The sequence below is a fragment of the Homo sapiens genome, chromosome 2, assembly GCF_000001405.40.
Source record: "Homo sapiens chromosome 2, GRCh38.p14 Primary Assembly".
NCBI lineage: Eukaryota > Metazoa > Chordata > Mammalia > Primates > Hominidae > Homo > Homo sapiens.
Window position 1 is genome coordinate 97,518,845 of NC_000002.12, and position 20,354 is coordinate 97,539,198.

Sequence of the window (20,354 nt, forward strand, 5' to 3'; positions counted from 1 at the left end):
CTGCGAGAAATCAACTTCTGTTGTTTGAACCAGTCTATGGTATTTTGTTATACTGTTGGTTCCAGAAGAAACAATAGAAAAAAATCAACAACACAAAACACCTTGAGGAGATCAATAAATGTGATAAAGCTCCATTTAGCCAGGCTGCTCAGAATAAAAGAAACAATACAAATTACTAATTTCAGAAATAAACAATGTGACATAATTATAGATTCTACAGATACTAAAAATATAACAAGATATTATAATTTCTATGTAAGTAAACAGGACAACTTAGATAAAATTAACAAATTCCTTTAAAAATGAAAATTAGCAAATCTCAATCAAGAAGCAATAGATAACGTGAATTGCCCTATATCTATAGAAGAAAGTTAAGTTATAGTTAAAAACCTTCCTAAAAGAAAACTCCAGACCCAGCTGGCTATGCTGGTGATTCTACAAAACATTTCCGGAAGAAATTAATACAATTATACATAAACTCTCCCAAAAGAAACAGAAAGAAGGAGTATATCTCAACTCAGTCTGTAATGTTAGCTTTACCCTGAACCAAAACCAGAAAATATTACCAACAAGAAAATTCCCTCATGAGCACGAATGTAAAAATTCAACCAATTTGTGATGCAACGAAGACATCCTCCCATAGTGGAGTGAATAAACTGTGGTTACACAGCCATACAGTGGAATATCACTCTACACATAAAGAAATGAGCAATCAATTCATGAAAATATGTGAAGGAACCTTAAATGCATATTACCAAGTGACATAAGCTCATCTGAAAAGGCTACTTACTGTATGGTTCCAACTATATGATCAGGAAGAGGCAAAACTATGGATAAAGTAAAAGGGTGCCTAAGGGTAAGAGACAGCAGGAAAAGATACATAGGCAGAGCACAGAGGATTTTTAGGGAAGTCAAAATAATTTATGTAACATGGATACACATCATTGTACATTTGTCCAAATCCATACATGTAAAGTACCAAGAGTGAACCCCAATGCAAATTATGGGCTTGGGGTGATTGTGATGTGTCAATTTAGGCTCATCTATCATAGCAACTACCACTATGGTGAAGGATACTGGTAATGAAGGAGGCTAAACATGTATTGGATTGGGGGTATACAAAAAAATATCTGAACCCCCCTCTCAATTTTGACAGGAACATAAAACTGGTCTAAAAAATAAAAGTCTTTATAATAAATTCTAAATGAGACTTTAGTAAACTGTATCCGACAGTATAATGAAAAGGTAATACATCATAAACAAATGGGGTTTATTCCAGAAATGGAAGGTTGGCTTAACATTGAAACATCATCATTATTTACCACAAAACAAACTGAAAGAGAAGACCCATAGGATCATCCCAACAGACACAGGCATCTGATAAAATTTACTCCTGATGTCTCAAAGAAGAAACACTCTCAGTAACATAAGAATCCAAGGGAAGTTCTTCAGCATGATAAACAACGTCTATGATGAACCTACAGCTAACGTGCATCATAGTGAAAAACTGAATGCATTTCCCATAAGATGAGGAAGAACATGGGAATGTCTGCTTTCACTACTTGTTTGTAGCATTGTTCTGAAGATTCTAGTTAATGCAGTCAGGCAAGAAAAAGAAATAAGAGGCATCCAAGTTTAAAAAAAAGAAATAAAATTGTCTTTATACACAACCATGACCATAAAATAGGTATGGGTAAACCCCAACCTGTGGGCCAGCTTCTTGTCCGATAAGCTTTTATTGGAACACAGCTGTGTTCATTAATTTATGGATGATCTATGGCTGCTCTCATACTAAAATGGCAGAGTTTATCAGCTGCAAAAGAGACCCTTTTGCCACAAGCCTAAAATATTCACTATCCTTAGTAAGAGGGTAGTTTGAGAAAGAAAGGTTTAACAACCTTTGGTCTATGAAGAAAATCTGATCAAATCTACCAACAATGTGCCAGAACTAATAAGTGAGTTTAACAAGAATGAAGGATACAAATTCAATACAGAAAAATTAACTGTATTTCTATATGCTAGCGATAAACAATCAAATGAAAATTTTAAAACTATCATTTTCTATAGTTTTATAAAAGTGTATATTTGGATTAGCAATGCTCAACCTGTATAAAGAAAGTCAAATACATCTACACTAATTAAACTATCATTTACAACTTCATCAAAAATGAAATACAGATAAATCTGATAAAATATGAAAAGACCTATAAACTAAAAACTACAAAATACTACTGAGAAAATTAAATATTACCTCTATAAAAGCAGACATACACTTTATTGAGGAGTAGATTCGCTATTGTTAAGATGTCAATTCTCCCCAAATTAATCTATAAATATGACCCAATCCCAACTTAATTTCCAACAAGCGAGCAGTCTTTATTTTATTGATAAGCTGATTCTAAAGTTCATGTGAAAATGCAAAGGATCTAGCATAGTCAAAACAGAACAAAGAACAAAATTGGAGGATTCATTTCAAGAATTACTATAAATCAATAGTAACAAAAACAGTGTGCCACAGGTACAGGCTGAATATCCCTTATTCAAAATGCTTCAGACTAGAAGTTTTTCAGATTTTGGATTTTGGAATATTTGCATATACATGATGAAATATCTTGGGGATAGGACCCAAGTCTAAACACAAAATACATTTGTTTTTCATATTTACCTTGTACACAAAGACTGAAGGTAATTTTAAATAATACTTTTAATAATTTGGGGCATGAAACAATGTTTGTATACATGAGGTCGGATGTAGAATTTTTCCACTGTGCTGTCTATGTTGGCAATCAAAAAGTCTGGGGTTTTAGAGCATTTCAGATTTGGGATATTTAAATCAGCAATGCTCAACCTGTATAAAGAAAGTCAAATTCAGACAATCCCCAACTTAAGGTGGTTTGACTTACTGACTTTACAGTGGGTTTACTGAAGTATTAAATTGCTTTTGACTCAAACACTGGGTTTCCCACAATTTGGGGAGCACCTGCAAATTAATAAAATTCAACAGACAGTCCAGAAATAGATAACACATAAGCAACCAGCTTATGACTGACAAAGGCAGGATGGCAATGCAGTGGAGAAAGGATAGCCTTTTCAACATGCGGTGTTGGAACAACTGGCTGTCCATATCCATAAAGTGAACTTGAATCCATACCTCACCTCACTCCATAGACAAAAGGAAACTCAAAATGGAGCACAGATTTAAATGGAAGATCCAAATCTATAAAATTTCTAGAACAAACACAGGAAAAATCTTTGTGACCTTGTGCTAGGCAAACATTTTTACATATGACACAAAATGCAAAATCTGTAATTCAACAATTAAATTGGATTTCATTACAATTAAAATCTTCTGCTCTTCAAAAGATACTACAAAGCAAGTGAAAAGTCAACCCAAAAACTGGCAAAAATACCCTTGTAAAAAAGTAGCTAAAAGTAATAGTATCCAAATACATACAGAATTATTAAAATTCAACACGTAAGAAAACATCAACCTACTTTTTTATATGCAAAAGATGTGAAAAGACAGTTCAACAAAGAAGATGTACAGATGGCAAATAAACACATGGAAAGATGCTCAACATTTTAGTCATTAGGATCATGTACATTAAACCCATAAGAATATACATAATACACCCATCAGAATAACTAAAATTTAAAAAAATAAATACAGCAGTAGTGTGACAACATAGCAACTGGAATGGTCATTTACTGCTGATGAGAATAGAAAATAGTACAAATATTTTGGAAAACCATTTAGCAGCTTTTAAAAACAGGAATATGAAGGGCCATGAGGAGACGTTAGTGGGTGATGGATATATGTTGACTATCTCGATGATGGTAATAGTTTCACATGTGTATACATCTGTTAAAACTTATCAAATGGTACCTTTTACATGTGTGCACTGTATCGCATATCAATTTTACCACACTAAAGCTACTGATTGTAGGAGCAAACACCTAAGGCACTGGCTGTGACACAGAGAAGGGTATGCAATGATGCAGTATAAAGCTCGAGGACTGAGATCCATATCTTATAGCAATAAATGGCAGCTGGGTTTTCAGCAAGCAGGTAACATGATCAGGTGTGATTTTTTACAACTATATAATTATGATTGCAGAACAGGCCATGGTTTTGGAAGGTGGAATAGTAGGAAAGACAGTTAGAGGGTTATCACAGTATTTCAGGTGGGAGGAAATGGTAACATGACCATGGGTAAATGGGTAATGGCATAGAAGAGAAGCAGAGTAAACAAACACACTGTGTGTATCATTCACACTGAGAAAAGTACAGTGAAATGATCATAGCTCTTTGGCTGAGAAGGTACAAGATACAGTTGCTTTCATTCTATTTTAACATAAGGCATATTTCTGAGATGAACATTCTTGTAACATATCAGTACTCTATGGTACAGTGTTAAGCAATGTGTGCATACATTGCTATAGGATTTTTAAAAAGCCTTATATTTATGCATTGGTCCTACCTTTACACTTCATTTCATGTTGATCAATGAGTAATATGACATTCTTACAATTACAGCAAAGCGAGTCACCGTCCTCTGAGACTGTTTGAGATGACTGAATTATGTCATCAAGGTCATCCCTAGAATGTATTTGGTTTTTCACCTACAAAATAAATAACACTGTTTCAAAATGTCCCCAAAATATTTATAGCATATACTAAATGTACAGAAGTGGGAATTGCCCATCTGTTTCTATGAGCACAAACACAGGTACCTGTTCCATACTTTTTTTTTAAGCAATTTCCTTTATGTTGACTCTAGTTCAGAAGACCACATGGTCTATGGATAAATTAGTTTCCCAGTTCCTATGCTATTTAGAAAACTGACAGAGAGACTTGGGTTAATTAAGGAACAAAGATTAAGAGAATGTCTTCCTGAGCTTGAGTTATTTTAATTGCAAAAACAATCTATTTATACATACAATTAGGTATTTAGATTACCCCATTTTACACAAGAGATTTTCATAAGTAAAAAAATTCAAATGGATCAAATAATTGGTGAAGAGAAAAACCAGAGTAGCAGCAAGTGACCCTCTAAGTCTTTTGGAAGTTGAACTTTCTCCAAAGCCAGGAACTCTACTTTACTTGTAATATGCTTACCTCATTCTTAAATCTTTGCATATATCACTTAATTCCACTTCTAGACATACTGCTGATGTTCTGTCACCATGTGGTGGAGAATAATGCACATTTTCTAATTCAAGTTTTATGCTTTCATATTTATTTGCACTACAGTTGTCACATAACGGCTTCTGGAACACATTCTGTATTGGTTTTGTACTGTTGTGTTTGTAACAACAGAAACACCATCATCTTTTTTTTTTTTTTTAAATCACATGCTTCATTTCTTTGGAGCAGGTAAGCCACATACCTAAAAGGCTTTTTGAATCACTAAATTGAGGCATATGTCCGATGTTTAATTTCCAGTTAGCGGTGTTTTGGTTTTTTGTCATTTGCCTCACAACCTATTTGACTTCTTTTATTTCATCCATAACTACTTCTGGGTTTCTTGCTTTTGTACTTTCAGTATCATTATAAAAATTTTCCTTGTCTGAGTTAAAAACATGTTCAGTATCTGGTTTGTTGTCATTTTCACAGTCTACTTTATTTCTATTTAAATAAAGCTCCGAAGGTGACTGGCAAGCATATTCTGGAGACCCAGAGTATGAATGAGAAAGAAAGGCATTTTTGAGACTGGGTTATTTTTGTTCAGGAAATATCTGGACTACTACAGAGACAGACATGCCAGATGCATCACTTTCCTAACAATCAGGTGAATCATTTGTCAAATTAGAGGGTATTTACTTAAGTTTGTTCTTCCTGTAGAGTTATTATGTAGTTGCTCTTCCTCAATACAAGCAGTTTTGTAATTTTCACAAATTTCACTGAAACTCTACTTTAACTTATTTGTGATGAATTTTAAAGTTTTTTTACCCTAATTTGTCTTGTTTGATCCACATTCTCTCATACTTTTGTGCACAAGTAAGTCCTGAATATATAAAGAGGTCCTTTCTATCACAACACTTTTTCACTACTAGTTGTTGAGACAATTTTTGCACATGCAAAAGTGGAAGATAAATTTGCTAGTTTTCTTTCTCAGATGTCTTTTCTGTCAGAGTACATGTTTTAGAAATAACTCTATCTTTAAATAATCAAGTGTAAAAAGAGAAAAATTTTAAAATAATTAAAGTTTAATATCAAACTTCTTAATCTATGTTTACCTACTGCCAAATCACTGGATTGTAACTAAGAAGTGAAAAATAATTTGCATTAGCCTAAAATCAGTGAAAAACACAAATCATGAAACTTTAATTTGCCACTGTTTGTTTGAACTAAACTTGACTAATTCATTATGTGTTAAATTTCCCAAAAATGAATTAGGAGATGACTTGTGGTACTATAAAGGCACTGTCACTTTAAAAGATTTTATCACTATATGAACAGTGTACACTTGAGTGCTTTTTCCTAATATTACTAACTAATGATTAGGCAAACTTTAAATTATTAGGAGCCAAAATCACCACCAGTCAGTAAGAAAAGCAAATTCTTTGTCTGGCAGCCAAGATGGCCAAATAGGAACAGCTCTGGTCTACAGCTCCCAGTGTGAGCGACGCAGAAGATGGGTGATTTCTGCATTTCCATCTGAGGTACCAGGTTCATCTCACTAGGGAGTGCCAGACAGTGGGTGCAGGATAGTGGGTGCAGTGCACTGTGCATGACCTGAGGGAGGGTGAGGCATTGCCTCACTCAGGAAGTGGAAGGGGTCAGGGAGTTCCCTTTCCTAGTCAAAGAAAGGGGTGACAGACAGCACCTGGAAAATTGGGTTACTCCCACCCTAATACTGCACTTTTCCAATGGGCTTAAAAAATGGCGCACCAGGAGATTATATCCTGCACCTGGCTCAGACAGTCCTATGCCCATTGAGTCTCACTGATTGCTAGCACAGCAGTCTGAGATCAAACTGCAAGGCAGCAGTGAGGCTGGGGGAGGGGCGCCTGCCATTGCCCAGGCTTGCTTAGGTAAACAAAGCAGCTGGGAATCTCAAACTGGGTGGAACCCACCACAGCTCAAGGAGGCCTTCCTGCCTCTGTAGGCTCCACCTCTGGGGGCAGGGCACAGAGAAACAAAAAGACAGCAGTAACCTCTGCAGACTTAAATGTCCCTGTCTGACAGCTTTGAAGACAGCAGTGGTTCCCCCAGCCTGCAGCTGGAGATCTGAGAATGGGCAGACTGCCTCCTCAAGTGGGTCCCTGACCACTGACCCCAAGCAGCCTAACTGGGAGGCACCCCCCAGTAGGGGCAGACTGAACCTCACATGGCTGGGTACTCCTCTGAGACAAAACTCCCAGAGGAAAGATCACACAGCAGCATTCGCTGTTCATGAAAATCCACTGTTCTGCAGCCACCGCTGCTGATACCCAGGCAGACAGGGTCTGGAGTGGACCTCTAGCAAACTCCAACAGACCTGCAGCTGAGGGTCCTGTCTGGTAGAAGGAAAACTAACAAACAGAAAGGACATCCACACCAAAAACCCATCTGTACATCACCATCATCAAAGACCACAAGTAGATAAAACCACAAAGATGGGGAAAAAACAGAGCAGAAAAACTGGAAACTCTAAAAAGCAGAGTGCCTCTCCTCTTCCAAAGGAACACAGTTCCTCACCAGCAATGGAACAAAGCTGGACGGAGAATGACTTTGACAAGTTGAGAGAAGAAGGCTTCAGATGATCAAACTACTCTGAGCTACAGGAGGAAATTCAAACCAAAGGCAAAGAAGTTAAAAACTTTGAAAAAAATTTAGATGAATGTATACCTAGAATAACCAATACAGAGAAGTGCTTAAAGGAGCTGATGGAGCTGAAAGCGGAGGCTCGAGAACTACGTGAAGAATGCAGAAGCCTCAGAGGCCGATGCGATCAACTGGAAGAAAGGGTATCAGTGATGGAACATGAAATGAATGAAATGAAGCGAGAAGGGAAGTTGAGAGAAGAAAGAATAAAAAGAAATGAACAAAGTCTCCAAAAAATATGGGACTATGTGAAAAGACCAAATCTACATCTGATTGGTGTACCTGAAAGTCACGGGGAGAATGGAACCAAGTTGGAAAACACTCTTCAGGATATTATCCAGGAGAACTTCCCCAATCTAGCAAGGCAGGCCAACATTCAGATTCAGGAAATACAGACAACGCCACAAAGATACCCCTCGAGAAGAGCAACTCCAAGACACATAATTGTCAGATTCACCAAAGTTGAAATGAAGGAAAAAATGTTAAGGGCAACCAGAGAGAAAGGTCGGGTTACCCACAAAGGGAAGCCCATCAGACTAACAGTGGATCTCTCGGCAGAAACTCTACAAACCAGAAGAGAGTGGGGGCCAATATTCAACATTCTTAAAGAAAAGAATTTTCAACCCAGAATTTTGTACCCAGCCAAACTAAGCTTCATAAGTGAAGGAGAAATAAAATACTTTATAGACAAGCAAATGATGAGAGATTTTGTCACCATGAGGCCTGCCCTAAAAGAGCTCCTGAAGAAAGCACTAAACATGGAAAGGAACAACCGGTACCAGCCACTGCAAAATCATGACAAAATATAAAGACCATCGAGACTAGGAAGAAACTGCATTAACTAACGAGCAAAATAACTAGCTAACATCATAATGCCAGGATGAAATTCACACATAACAATATTAACTTTAAATGTAAATGGACTAAATGCTCCAATTAAAAGACACAGACTGGCAAATTGGATAAAGAGTCAAGACCCATCAGTGTGCTGTATTCAGGAAACCCATCTCACATGCAGAGACACACATAGGTTCAAAATAAAAGGATGGAGGAAGATCTACCAAGCAAATGGAAAACAAAAAAAGGCAGGGGTTGCAATCCTATCTCTGATAAAACAGACTTTAAACCAACAAAGATCAAAGAGACAAAGAAGGCCATTACATAATGGTAAAGGGATCAATTCAAAAAGAAGAGCTAACTATCCTAAATATATATGCACCCAATACAGGAGCACCCAGATTCATAAGGCAAGTCCTGAGTGACCTACAAAGAGACTTAGACTCCCACACAATAATAATGGGAGACTTTAACATCCCACTGTCAACATTAGACAGATCAACGAGACACAAAGTTAACAAGGAGACCCAGAAATTGAACTCAACTCTGCACCAAGTGGACCTAATAGACATCTACAGAACTCTCCACCCCAAATCAACAGAATATACATTTTTTTCAGCACCACACCACACCTATTCCAAAATTGACCACATAGTTGGAAGTAAAGCTCTCCTCAGCAAATGTAAAAGTACAGAAAGTATAACAAACTGTCTGTCAGACCACAGTGCAATCAAACTAGAACTCAGGATTAAGAAACTCACTAAAAACCGCTCAACTACATGGAAACTGAACAACCTGCTCCTGAATGACTACTGGGTACATAACGAAATGAAGGCAGAAATAAAGATGTTCTTTGAAACCAACGAGAACAAAGACACAACATACCAGAATCTCTGGGACACATTCAAAGCAGTGTACAGTGGGAAATTTATAGCACTAAATGCCCACAAGAGAAAGCAGGAAAGATCCAAAATTGACACCCTAACATCACAATTAAAAGAACTAGAAAAGCAAGAGCAAACACATTCAAAAGCTAGCAGAAGGCAAGAAATAACTAAAATCAGAGCAGAACTGAAGGAAATAGAGACACAAAAAACCCTTCAAAAAATTAATGAATCCAGGAGCCGGTTTTTTGAAAGGATCAACAAAATTGATAGACCGCTAGCAAGACTAATAAAGAAGAAAAGAGAGAAGAATCAAATAGATGCAATACAAAATGATAAAGGGGGTATCACCACCAATCCCACAGAAATACAAACTACCATCAGAGAATACTACAAACACCTCTATGCAAATAAACTAGAAAATCTAGAAGAAATGGATAAATTCCTGGACACATACACCCTCCCAAGACTAAACCAGGAAGAAGTTGAATCTCTGAATAGACCAATAACAGGCTCTGAAATTGTGGCAATAATCAATAGCTTACCAACCAAAAAGAGTCCAGGACCAGATGGATTCACAGTCGCATTCTACCAGAGGTACAAGGAGGAACTGGTACCATTCCTTCTGAAACTATTCCAATCAATAGAAAAGAGGGAATCCTCCCTAACTCATTTTATGAGGCCAGCATCATCCTGATACCAAAGCTGGGCAGAGACACAACCAAAAAAGAGAATTTTAGACCAATATCCTTAGTGAACATTGATGCAAAAATCCTCAATAAAATACTGGCAAACCGAATCCAGCAGCACATCAAAAAGCTTATCCACCATGATCAAGTGGGCTTCATCCCTGGGATGCAAGGCTGGTTCAATATACGCAAATCAATAAATGTAATCCAGCTTATAAACAGAACCAAAGACAAAAACCACATGATTATCTCAATAGATGCAGAAAAGGCCTTTGATAAAATTCAACAACCCTTCATGCTAAAAACTCTCAATAAATTAGGTATTGATGGGACGTATCTCAAAATAATAAGAGCTATCTATGACAAACCCACAGCCAATATCATACTGAATGGGCAAAAACTGGAAGCATTCCCTTTGAAAACTGGCACAAGACAGGGATGCCCTCTCTCACCACTCCTATTCAACATAGTGTTGGAAGTTCTGGCCAGGCCCATTAGGCAGGAGAAGGAAATAAAGGGTATTCAATTAGGAAAAGAGGAAGTCAAAATGTCCCTGTTTGCAGACGACATGATTGTATATCTAGAAAACCCCATTGTCTCAGCCCAAAATCTCCTTAAGCTGATCAGCAACTTCAGCAAAGTCTCAGGATACAAAATCAATGTACAAAAATCACAAGCATTCTTATACAACAATAACAGACAAACAGAGAGCCAAATCATGAGTGAATTCCCATTCACAATTGCTTCAAAGAGAATAAAATACCTAGGAATCCAACTTACAAGGGACGTGAAGGACCTCTTCAAGGAGAACTACAAATCACTGCTCAAGGAAATAAAAGAGGATACAAACAAATGGAAGAACATTCCATGCTCATGGGTAGGAAGAATCAGTATCGTTAAAATGGCCATACTGCCCGAGGTAATTTATAGAATCAGTGCCATCCCCATCAAGCTCCCAATGACTTTCTTCACTGAATTGGAAAAAACTACTTTAAAGTTCATATGGAACCAAAAAAGAGCCCGCATCACCACATCAATCCTAAGCCAAAAGAACAAAGCTGGAGGCATCACACTACCTGACTTCAAACTATACTACAAGGCTACAGTAACCAAAACAGCATGGTACTGGTACCAAAACAGAGATATAGACCAATGGAACAGAACAGAGCCATCAGAAATAATGCCACATATCTACAACTATCTGATCTTTGACAACCCTGAGAAAAACAAGCAACGGGGAAAGGATTCCCTATTTAATAAATGGTGCTGGGAAAACTGGCTAGCCATATGTAGAACGCTGCAACTGGATCCCTTCCTTACACCTTATACAAAAATTAATTCAAGATGGATTAAAGGCTTAAACGTTAGACCTAAAACCATAAAAACCCTAGAAGAAAACCTAGGCATTACCATTCAGGACATAGGCATGGGCAAGGACTTCATGTCTAAAACACCAAAAGCAATGGCAACAAAAGCCAAAATTGACAGATGGGATCTAATTAAGCTAAAGAGCTTCTGCACAGCAAAAGAAACTACCATCAGAGTGAACAGGCAACCTACAAAATGGGAGAAAATTTTCACAACCTACTCATCTGACAAAGGGCTAATATCCAGAATCTACAAAGAACTCAAACAAATTTACAAGAAAAAAACAAACAACCCCATCAAAAAGTGGGCAAAGGATATCAACAGACACTTCTCAAAAGAAGACATTTATGCAGCCAAAAAACACATGAAAAAATGCTCATCATCACTGGCCATCAGAGAAATGCAAATCAAAACCACAATGAGATACCATCCCACACCAGTTAGGATGGCAATCATTAAAAAGTCAGGAAACAACAGATGCTGGAGAGGATGTGGAGAAATAGCAACACTTTTACACTGTTGGTGGGACTGTAAACTAGTTCAACCATTGTGGAAGTCAGTGTGGTGATTCCTCAGGGATCTAGAACTAGAAATACCATTTGACCCTGCCATCCCATTACTGGGTATATACCCAAAGGACTATAAATCATGCTGCTATAAAGACACATGCACACGTATGTTTATTGTGGCACTATTCACAATAGCAAAGACTTGGAACCAACCCAAATGTCCAACAATGATAGCCTGGATTAAGAAAATGTGGCACATATACACCATGGAATACTATGCAGCCATAAAAAATGATGAGTTCATGTCCTTTGTAGGGACATGGATGAAATTGGAAATCATCATTCTCAGTAAACTATCGCAAGGACAAAAAACCAAACACTGCATGCTCTCACTCATAGGTGGGAATTGAACAACGAGAACACGTGGACACAGGAAGGGGAACATCACACTCTGGGGACTGTTGTGGGGTGGGGGGAGGGGGGAGGGATAGCATTAGGAGGTATACCTAATGCTAAATGACGAGTTAATGGGTGCAGCGTACCAGCATGGCACATATATACATATGTAACTAACCTGCACATTGTGCACATGTTCCCTAAAATTTAAAGTACAATAATAATAAAATAAAAAAAGAAAAGCAAATTCTTACATTTTAATGCAAATTACATATTGTAATATGATTGACAGTGTTATATATTTATATAGATTATAGGCTTAAGTTCTAAGGTCTACTAATGACAGTGGATTTAATAAATTTAACAATATTTAGAGATTTTCTATATTGAAATTCATTAGGCAGTTATTGTTTGTACACTAATACCAAAGGTGCCATTTTGCAAGGTATAATTCTCTTGATAGCCAGTTGGGTTGATTTTATGACCCATTCTCTCCCTCAACATAGAAACTGAAGTCAGAGATCAAAAGGGAAAATAAATTCTTAACCTTGGTATTAGTGACTGGCAATAAAAAAACTGCAAAGTTTGAACCACTAGCAATAATTACTCCTTTAATCTGAATCCAGTACGGTGGTCATCACTGTTAAATTGTTCATAATTTCTATTGCTTAAAATTGTAATTCAATATTTGATGTTACCTTCTTTATTATAATAGGAAGTTATAAAAATAGAAGTGCAAACAATATCAGGAACTTTTTAACTCAATTCCAAGAGTAAAGATTAGATACAAGTTGCTATAGATTCCAACACTATTTTAAGTTTTATAACTAAATGTTTTTAAAATGAAATATTAAATTATAATCAACTGATACTAAAAGGCAAATCCAAAGGTAAATTCATTTCAAATATGCTGTATTACCAAAGCTAGGAAAACAAGATTAAACCAGAAATTTGATTTTAAATTTTTACATACCTGTGGCTGGTTATTTTCATATTCTTCAAGCCTCTTTTGCTCTCCCTCTGATGCCATTTCTAAGTCTTGTTCTGCTAAAAAAATTATATATTTAGTTAAAATGAGCTACACAGAACAGTTAGATAAAAGCCATGGTCAGCGGTGGCTCACGCCTGTAATCCCAGCACTTTGGGAGGCTGAGGCGGGTGGATCACGAGGTCAGGAGATAGAGACCATCCTGGCTAACAAGGTGAAACCTCGTCTCTACTAAAAAATACAAAAAATTAACTGGGCGTGGTGGCAGGTGCCTGTAGTCCCAGCTAGTCGGGAGGCTGGGGCAGGAGAATGGCGTCAGCCCGGGAGGTGGAGCTTGCAGTGAGCTGAAGATCTCACCACTGCACCTCCAGCCTGGGTGGCAGAGCGAGACTGTGTCTCAAAAAAAAAAAAAAAAAGCCATATTCTTTCTAAAACCAGAAAATAAAAGTGTTTCAACGAAGCTTAATCTTTAGTATAATATGTACTTCTTTAAGAAAGGCTTTTAATCCTCCAAAACTTCAGCAAACCACTTGGGGAGGCACTAGATGTCACCAGGTTCAAGCCATGCAAACGTGGTCAAAGATTCACTCACAAATTCATCCACCCAACATCAATGAACAAAACCATCAGAAATAAGACAAAATGTAAAAATCCAATAGAAACAGAAAAAGTAACAGCACACTGTTCTTTACTTCACAATAGTACCTTTAGAACAGCACATTGAGCCTGCTGTTCATTATTAATCATTTCCAAAATGACTGCTACTGTTTACACTTTCATCAATGTACAGTCTCTTCTTTATATCTAAAATATTTTCCTCAACTATTCTGACAGATTTCTTTCATAATTTAAGACTCAGACAGCTATGTGAAGTCTTCCTTGATTCCGGCTATCTTTCCTCAGATAAATGATTTTATTTAATACAGGTTTTATAACATATGTAGTTAAGGTTTCAAAAGTGAGATTATGTCTCAACTAACTATAACTGAAATAGAAGAGTGTATCTATTTCAATGTAAACATGTTGACTGATAATGAGAAAAATGATCCTTATAAAGAATAGCAAATCATGATCCTAAGACAGTAAGTGTCAAAGCTGATGGGAGGATGCTATGGCCTATCTTTAATGCAATACTTCAGATTCAATTACACCATTATACTACAAGCATTTATCATGTCCAACTATTTTTCCTATTATTTAGGAAGTACAAAGTTGTGAGGACACTTCCAATAAATATACAATTTATTTCTCATCAGAGAAACTGTTTAAAATTAATCAGCTTAGATAGACAGTTGTAGAATAAAAATTAATAAAACTATTCATTTTTTTCATTCCTAGGTAGGCTACTGCTATGTCTACATTGCTTGTATCCTGCAGTTTGGCCCTGTCAAGAACTTTCTGAATCCACTCATGCAAGAAGATATGTAAACCACATCAAAAATAGTGTATAGGCTGGGTGTGGTGGCTCACGCCTGTAATCACAGCACTTTGGGAGGCTGAAGTGGGTGGATTACAAGGTCAGGAGGTCGAGACCAGCCTGACTAACATGGTGAAACCCCATCTCTACTCAAAATACAAAAATTAGCCAGGCATGGTGTCATGTGCCTGTAATCCCAGCTACTCAGGAGGCTGAGGCAGGAGAATCGCTTTAACCCGGGAGGTAGAGGTTGCAATGAGCCGAGATTGTGCCATTGCACTCCAGGCTGGGAGACAGAGCGAGACTCCATCTCAAAAAAAAAAAAAAAAGTGTATAATAAGCTTTCAATATGTAAATAATTGTCAAAAATGAAAAAATTAAATTTCCACAGACATTAATAACATTTTATACTTCAAAATCAGTACAACGTTCACTGATTATTTTGGTTTTGTTATTCAAAGAATGAATGCTATAACTTTTTGTTTCTAAAATTAGTTCGATTTGATATACCATGCTAATCTCTAAGGCACTTTCATGGAACTGTGATCTTATTAAAAAAATAGGTTTCTTAGTAAAATCAGTCAAAGTTTCTTAGTTCAAATAAATTTCATTTGATTAACTAATATCAACACTTCTATATAGCTCTTATAAATTATTCCCACCACAAATGAAGAGGAAAGCCTCTTAATTTAGCAGTAGTACCTTACATGTATAATTTCTATTTCCTAAATTTGTGTTCCTTTCCCTCTGGCTAGAAACATGCTCAGAAATAGTAGCAAAATGACACTGTTATGTTTCAAACTGCTATCAGATGGCAAACAGGTATACGGAAAGGTGCTCGACATCACTGATCATCACAGAAATGCAAATCAAAGCTACAATGAGGTATCATCTCACCTCAGTTAAAATGGCTTTTATCCAAATGGCAGGCATTAAGAAATGCTGGTGAGGATGTGGAGAAAGCAGAACCCTCGTACACCATTGGTGGCATTGTGAATTAGTACAGTCACTATGGAGAACACTATAGAGTCCTCAAAAAATTAAAAATACAGCTACCCACATGATCCAGCAATCCCATTGCTAGGTAACGATTCAAAAGCAAGAAAATCAGTATTATAAAAGAGAAATCTGTCCTGACATGTTTATTGCAGCACTTTTCACAATAGCCATGATTTGGAATCAACCTAAATGTACATCAACAGAAAAATGGGTTCTAAAAATGTGATACATATACGGCTCAGCCATGTGAAAGAATAAGATCCTCTCATTCGCAATGACATGGATGGAACAGGAGGACATTATGTCAAGTAAAATAATCCAGGCAAAGAAAGGAAGCCTTCACATGTTGTCAGTCCTTTGTGGGTGTGAGAAATTTAAAAAATAGAGCTCATGGAGATGAAGAGAAAAATCACCATTACCACAGTCTAGGAAGGGTGTGGGGGTGGTAGGAAAAGAGGATGCTTAATAAGTACAAACTATAGTTAGAAACAATGAATAAAATGTAGCATTTTATAGCACAAAAACATGACTACAGTCAGAAATAACTTGTTGTACATTTTAGGATTACTGAGGAAGTACAAATGAAAAGATAGCACAAAGAAATGGTTAATGCTTGAGGTGATGGATAACCCATTAACCATGATGTCATTATTACACATTGTATGCCTGTATCAAACTATCTCATCTACTCCATAAACATAAACACCTACAATTTACTCATTAAAATTAAAAACAAAAAAATAAAACACACACACACACACACACACACACAGTGTGCTAATCAGAACATCCGATTGGCTTAATATAATAAGTGTAACAAAATTGACCAGAACCAATAAAAGTTAAAACAAAATATGTTACAAAATAAAACATTTCATTAGCTAAAAGCCATAATTTTAATTGACTTTTAAAGCAAAACAAATATTTTACAGTATCAAAATTGATCTCTTTAATTCGCTAAAAACTATTGAATTCCAAATTGGAAACTTCAGAGTATCAAAATGTAAAAGTAGAAACATCTGAATAAAACCTTATATTTTTAGGCCAGGCATGGTGGTTCACACCTGTAATCCCAGCACTTTGGGAGGGCGAGGCGGGAGGATCACCTGAGGTCGAGAGCTCAAGACCAGCCTGACCAACATGGAGAAAGCCTGTCTCTACTAAAAATACAAAATTAGCCGGGCATGGTGGGGCATACCTGTAATCCCAGCTACTCGGGAGGCTGAGGCAGGAGAATTGCTTGAACCAGGAAGGTGGAGGTTGTGGTGAGCTACAATTGAGCCATTGCACTCCAGCCTGGGCAACAAGAGCAAAGCTCTGTCTCCAAAAACAAAAAACAAAACAAAAAAAAAAACCTTATGTTTTAAAAATGTATTTTCCTTATGCATGTAAATCTCATTTTTGAAAATATAAATAAAAATGATAACAGCTGCATTATTTAGATGAAATCCTGAAATAAAATATAAAAAGTGAAATAATTGAGAATAGAAAGACTATGAGCATTACAAACAGATTAATGTACTTCTTTCCAGAGTTAAATCTACAATGCAAAGTTTACCTGGTGTGGATGTTTGTACCTCCTTCATTTTGGTGGCTGTATTCAGAACAGAATCTTTATTTTCAATTGTAGCCTGAATGGGTTTTAAAACAAAGTGATTAGCACATGATGTATATTGGTATAGGTTATGCAGTTAATAATTAAAAATATAAATGTAAGAGTAATTACCTTCAAGGTGCGCAGATTCTCAGGATACTCTAACAAGCAAGAGAAATATATAATCATATGTAAATATGGTAAGGCCAACCATACATTCGTGGAGTGTTAGCATCAAACTGAATACTCTTGCCTGTATTAGTGTAGGGTTTCATGTTTTTCTAGTTTGTTTCTTTGGGACAGTAACATGATAGAAATGCAATAAAGAAAATAGGAATACAAGCTTCAAAAACATACAGTTACAAGTTAAAAAGTGAGATTATGCACCACATCTATTGCTAAAAAAAAGTGTTAATATCAATGTGGATATACTGATTAACAAGGAGAAATGTGATCTAAAATCAGAGGAGCAAGTCATAACCCTAGAAATAAGTGTAAAAGCTGGTGCTAACTGCGACTACATGACTTTCATACAAGACATCAGAAGGCTTTATACCAGTATAACATAAACATTCATCATGCTCTTTAGCTTGTCTGATAACTGAGAAGGTACACAATTACAATGACACTTCAGTTGAACGTACACTTCACGTATCTTCAGTGTAAGTGTCCTGAATTGATCTGCTTGGATATATGTTTGGTGAATCCTAGTAGTTAATATTCATTATTTATCATGCCCATGTGGTGTAATAGTCTGCCTACATTTCTTATATCCTCTAGTTTAGCCTTCAGAAAGTTTCTTCATCCACTAATGGCAAGAAGGTCTAATATATAAACCCCATCGAAAAGTATAATAAATTATACATATTTATACAAAATGGAATTGCTCCAGGCATTAGATATTAATAAACTTACACATTTGGAAATCAGTCCAATATTCATTGAAAATAATCACTTTAAGATTCAATTAATGCATTCAACATTATTTTTGTCTGTAAAATTAGTCTGCTCTGGAATATCACTTTACTATAAAGAATTTTCATTAAATAGCTATTTTAACAAGACAGCCAGCACTTTGGAAAAAACTAAATATTCATATTAAATTTCAACTCATTTGAATAACTAATAAAGAATATATGTCTGATGTCTGATACTAATAAACATGAATAATGAGGCACTGTGATTTATCCCAATTCTAGCACTCCTTCCTGATTACAGTAGTCATTGGAGCAGCCAGAAATCAGATCTTCTGGTATGCAAATATTCTAAATGCATGTGAAGTGAGTTCACTCAGGCTTCCTCAGCAGAAACCCCAAAATTACCTAAATAACTTCTTCCTTCCCCTCTTTCTTGCCTTGCAATCCCTCTCTTGATGAAAATAATTACTACATCAGTGGTCACCTTGCTCCTCATTCTCCAGTGTTTATGGGTTATTATGACAACTTCCTCCCTCTGGTTTAAGCAGTACCATCTGACATCTATAATTTCTATTACTTTTTTCTCTTTCTCCTTCCCCTTTCCATAGAAACATGCTCTGAAATAAGAGCAAAATTATGCTGTCCCCGGATCCTCTTATCTCTTATGTCTTGAACTGTTTTCCAACGGTTCTTCTACACAATTTCAATGTAGGGAAGTCTATAAGCTTGTTACTAAGATCATGGCCAAGGACCAGCAGCATCAACAACACCTGACAACTCAGTAGAAATGCACAATCTCAGGCCTGCTGAATCAGAAAGTGCATTTTCAATGAGCCCCCTGCTGATCTATTCAGGGGTGGGACGTTGTCTTCTATCTTGAGTGCACATGACATTAAATGTATATTGCCAAATTACCTGTTCCAGATTTCCCACCGCCCGTTATTCTTGTGGCAATATTCAAAAGAGAAACTTTCTTTTTAAATATAACCTGAATGGAAAGAGAAACAAAATAGTCAATACATAATATATATTTCATAGGCTATGCAATAAATAATTCAAAATATAAATGAAAGAGTAACTACCTTCTGGGCCGATTGTTTCTGAGGAGACACTGAAAAGTAAAAGAAATATATAATCCATCATATGTAAATATGATAAAGTTATCCACACATTCATGCAGTGTTAGCATCAAGCTGTATCCTCCTGCCTGTACTAGTGTAGGATTTGATGTTTTACAGTTTGTGTCTTTGGGACAGGAACATGAGGAAATATGCTGAAGAAAATAGGAATACACGCTTCCAGAAAATATTCAGTCAGAAATTACAAAGAGGTATTTTGCGTCATGTGTGTATTACTGAAATAAAAAGTGTCAATATCAATGTGGATATGCTGAATGATGAAAAGAAATGTGATCTAAAATCAGAGGAGCAACTCATACACCCAGGAACCAATGTCAAAGAAGGTACTAAATGCTACTGCATGTTTTTCATGCAAGACATCAGAAGGATTTATACCACTGTACTGCAAGTATTCATCATGCTCTTTAACTTGCCTGGTAATTGAGCAGGTACACAATGACAATGACACTTTAATAGAATGTACACTTCACAAGTCCTCAGTGGAAGTGTCGCAGCTTCATCAGCTTGGATATAGGTTGGGATAATCCTGTATACAATATTCTTTATTTCTCAAACCCATGTGGTGTAATAATGTGCCTACATTTGTTGTGTCCTCTAGTTTAGGCTACAGAAAGGTTCTTCATCCACTCATGGCAACAAAGTATAATATATAAACCATATCAAAAAGTATAATAAATGATCAAATGACAAACTTATACAAAATAAAGTTGCTACAAGCATTAGATATGAATAACCTTTTACATTTGGAAATCACTACAATATTCATTGAAAATAACAATTTTAAAAGTCAATTAATGAATTCAAATT

General features: G+C 36.3%; 1 protein-coding gene across 26 annotated transcripts in view; it reads right to left on the reverse strand.

The window, feature by feature from the left end:
* Positions 1-20,354, reverse strand: part of ANKRD36B (ankyrin repeat domain 36B) — a 97,215-nt gene that overhangs the window by 26,182 nt on the left and 50,679 nt on the right. For 21 of the 26 annotated variants that reach the window (XR_007078917.1, XM_047445328.1, XM_047445323.1 and 18 more), the window contains 6 exons: positions 19,491-19,519; positions 19,324-19,396; positions 17,624-17,652; positions 17,456-17,528; positions 13,467-13,540; positions 4,482-4,623 (listed from right to left, as the gene is read on the reverse strand). Coding sequence is in view for 25 of the 26 variants with exons in the window: in XM_047445328.1 (XP_047301284.1) it covers positions 4,482-4,623; positions 13,467-13,540; positions 17,456-17,528; positions 17,624-17,652; positions 19,324-19,396; positions 19,491-19,519 (420 nt within the window). In the remaining variant the exon portion in view is untranslated. Of the gene's footprint in view, positions 1-2,686; positions 3,229-4,481; positions 4,624-13,466; positions 13,541-17,455; positions 17,529-17,623; positions 17,653-19,323; positions 19,397-19,490; positions 19,520-20,354 lie in introns of those variants that run through there. The other 5 variants (XM_017004578.3, XM_047445341.1, XM_011511557.4 and 2 more) reach the window with 4 other exon arrangements.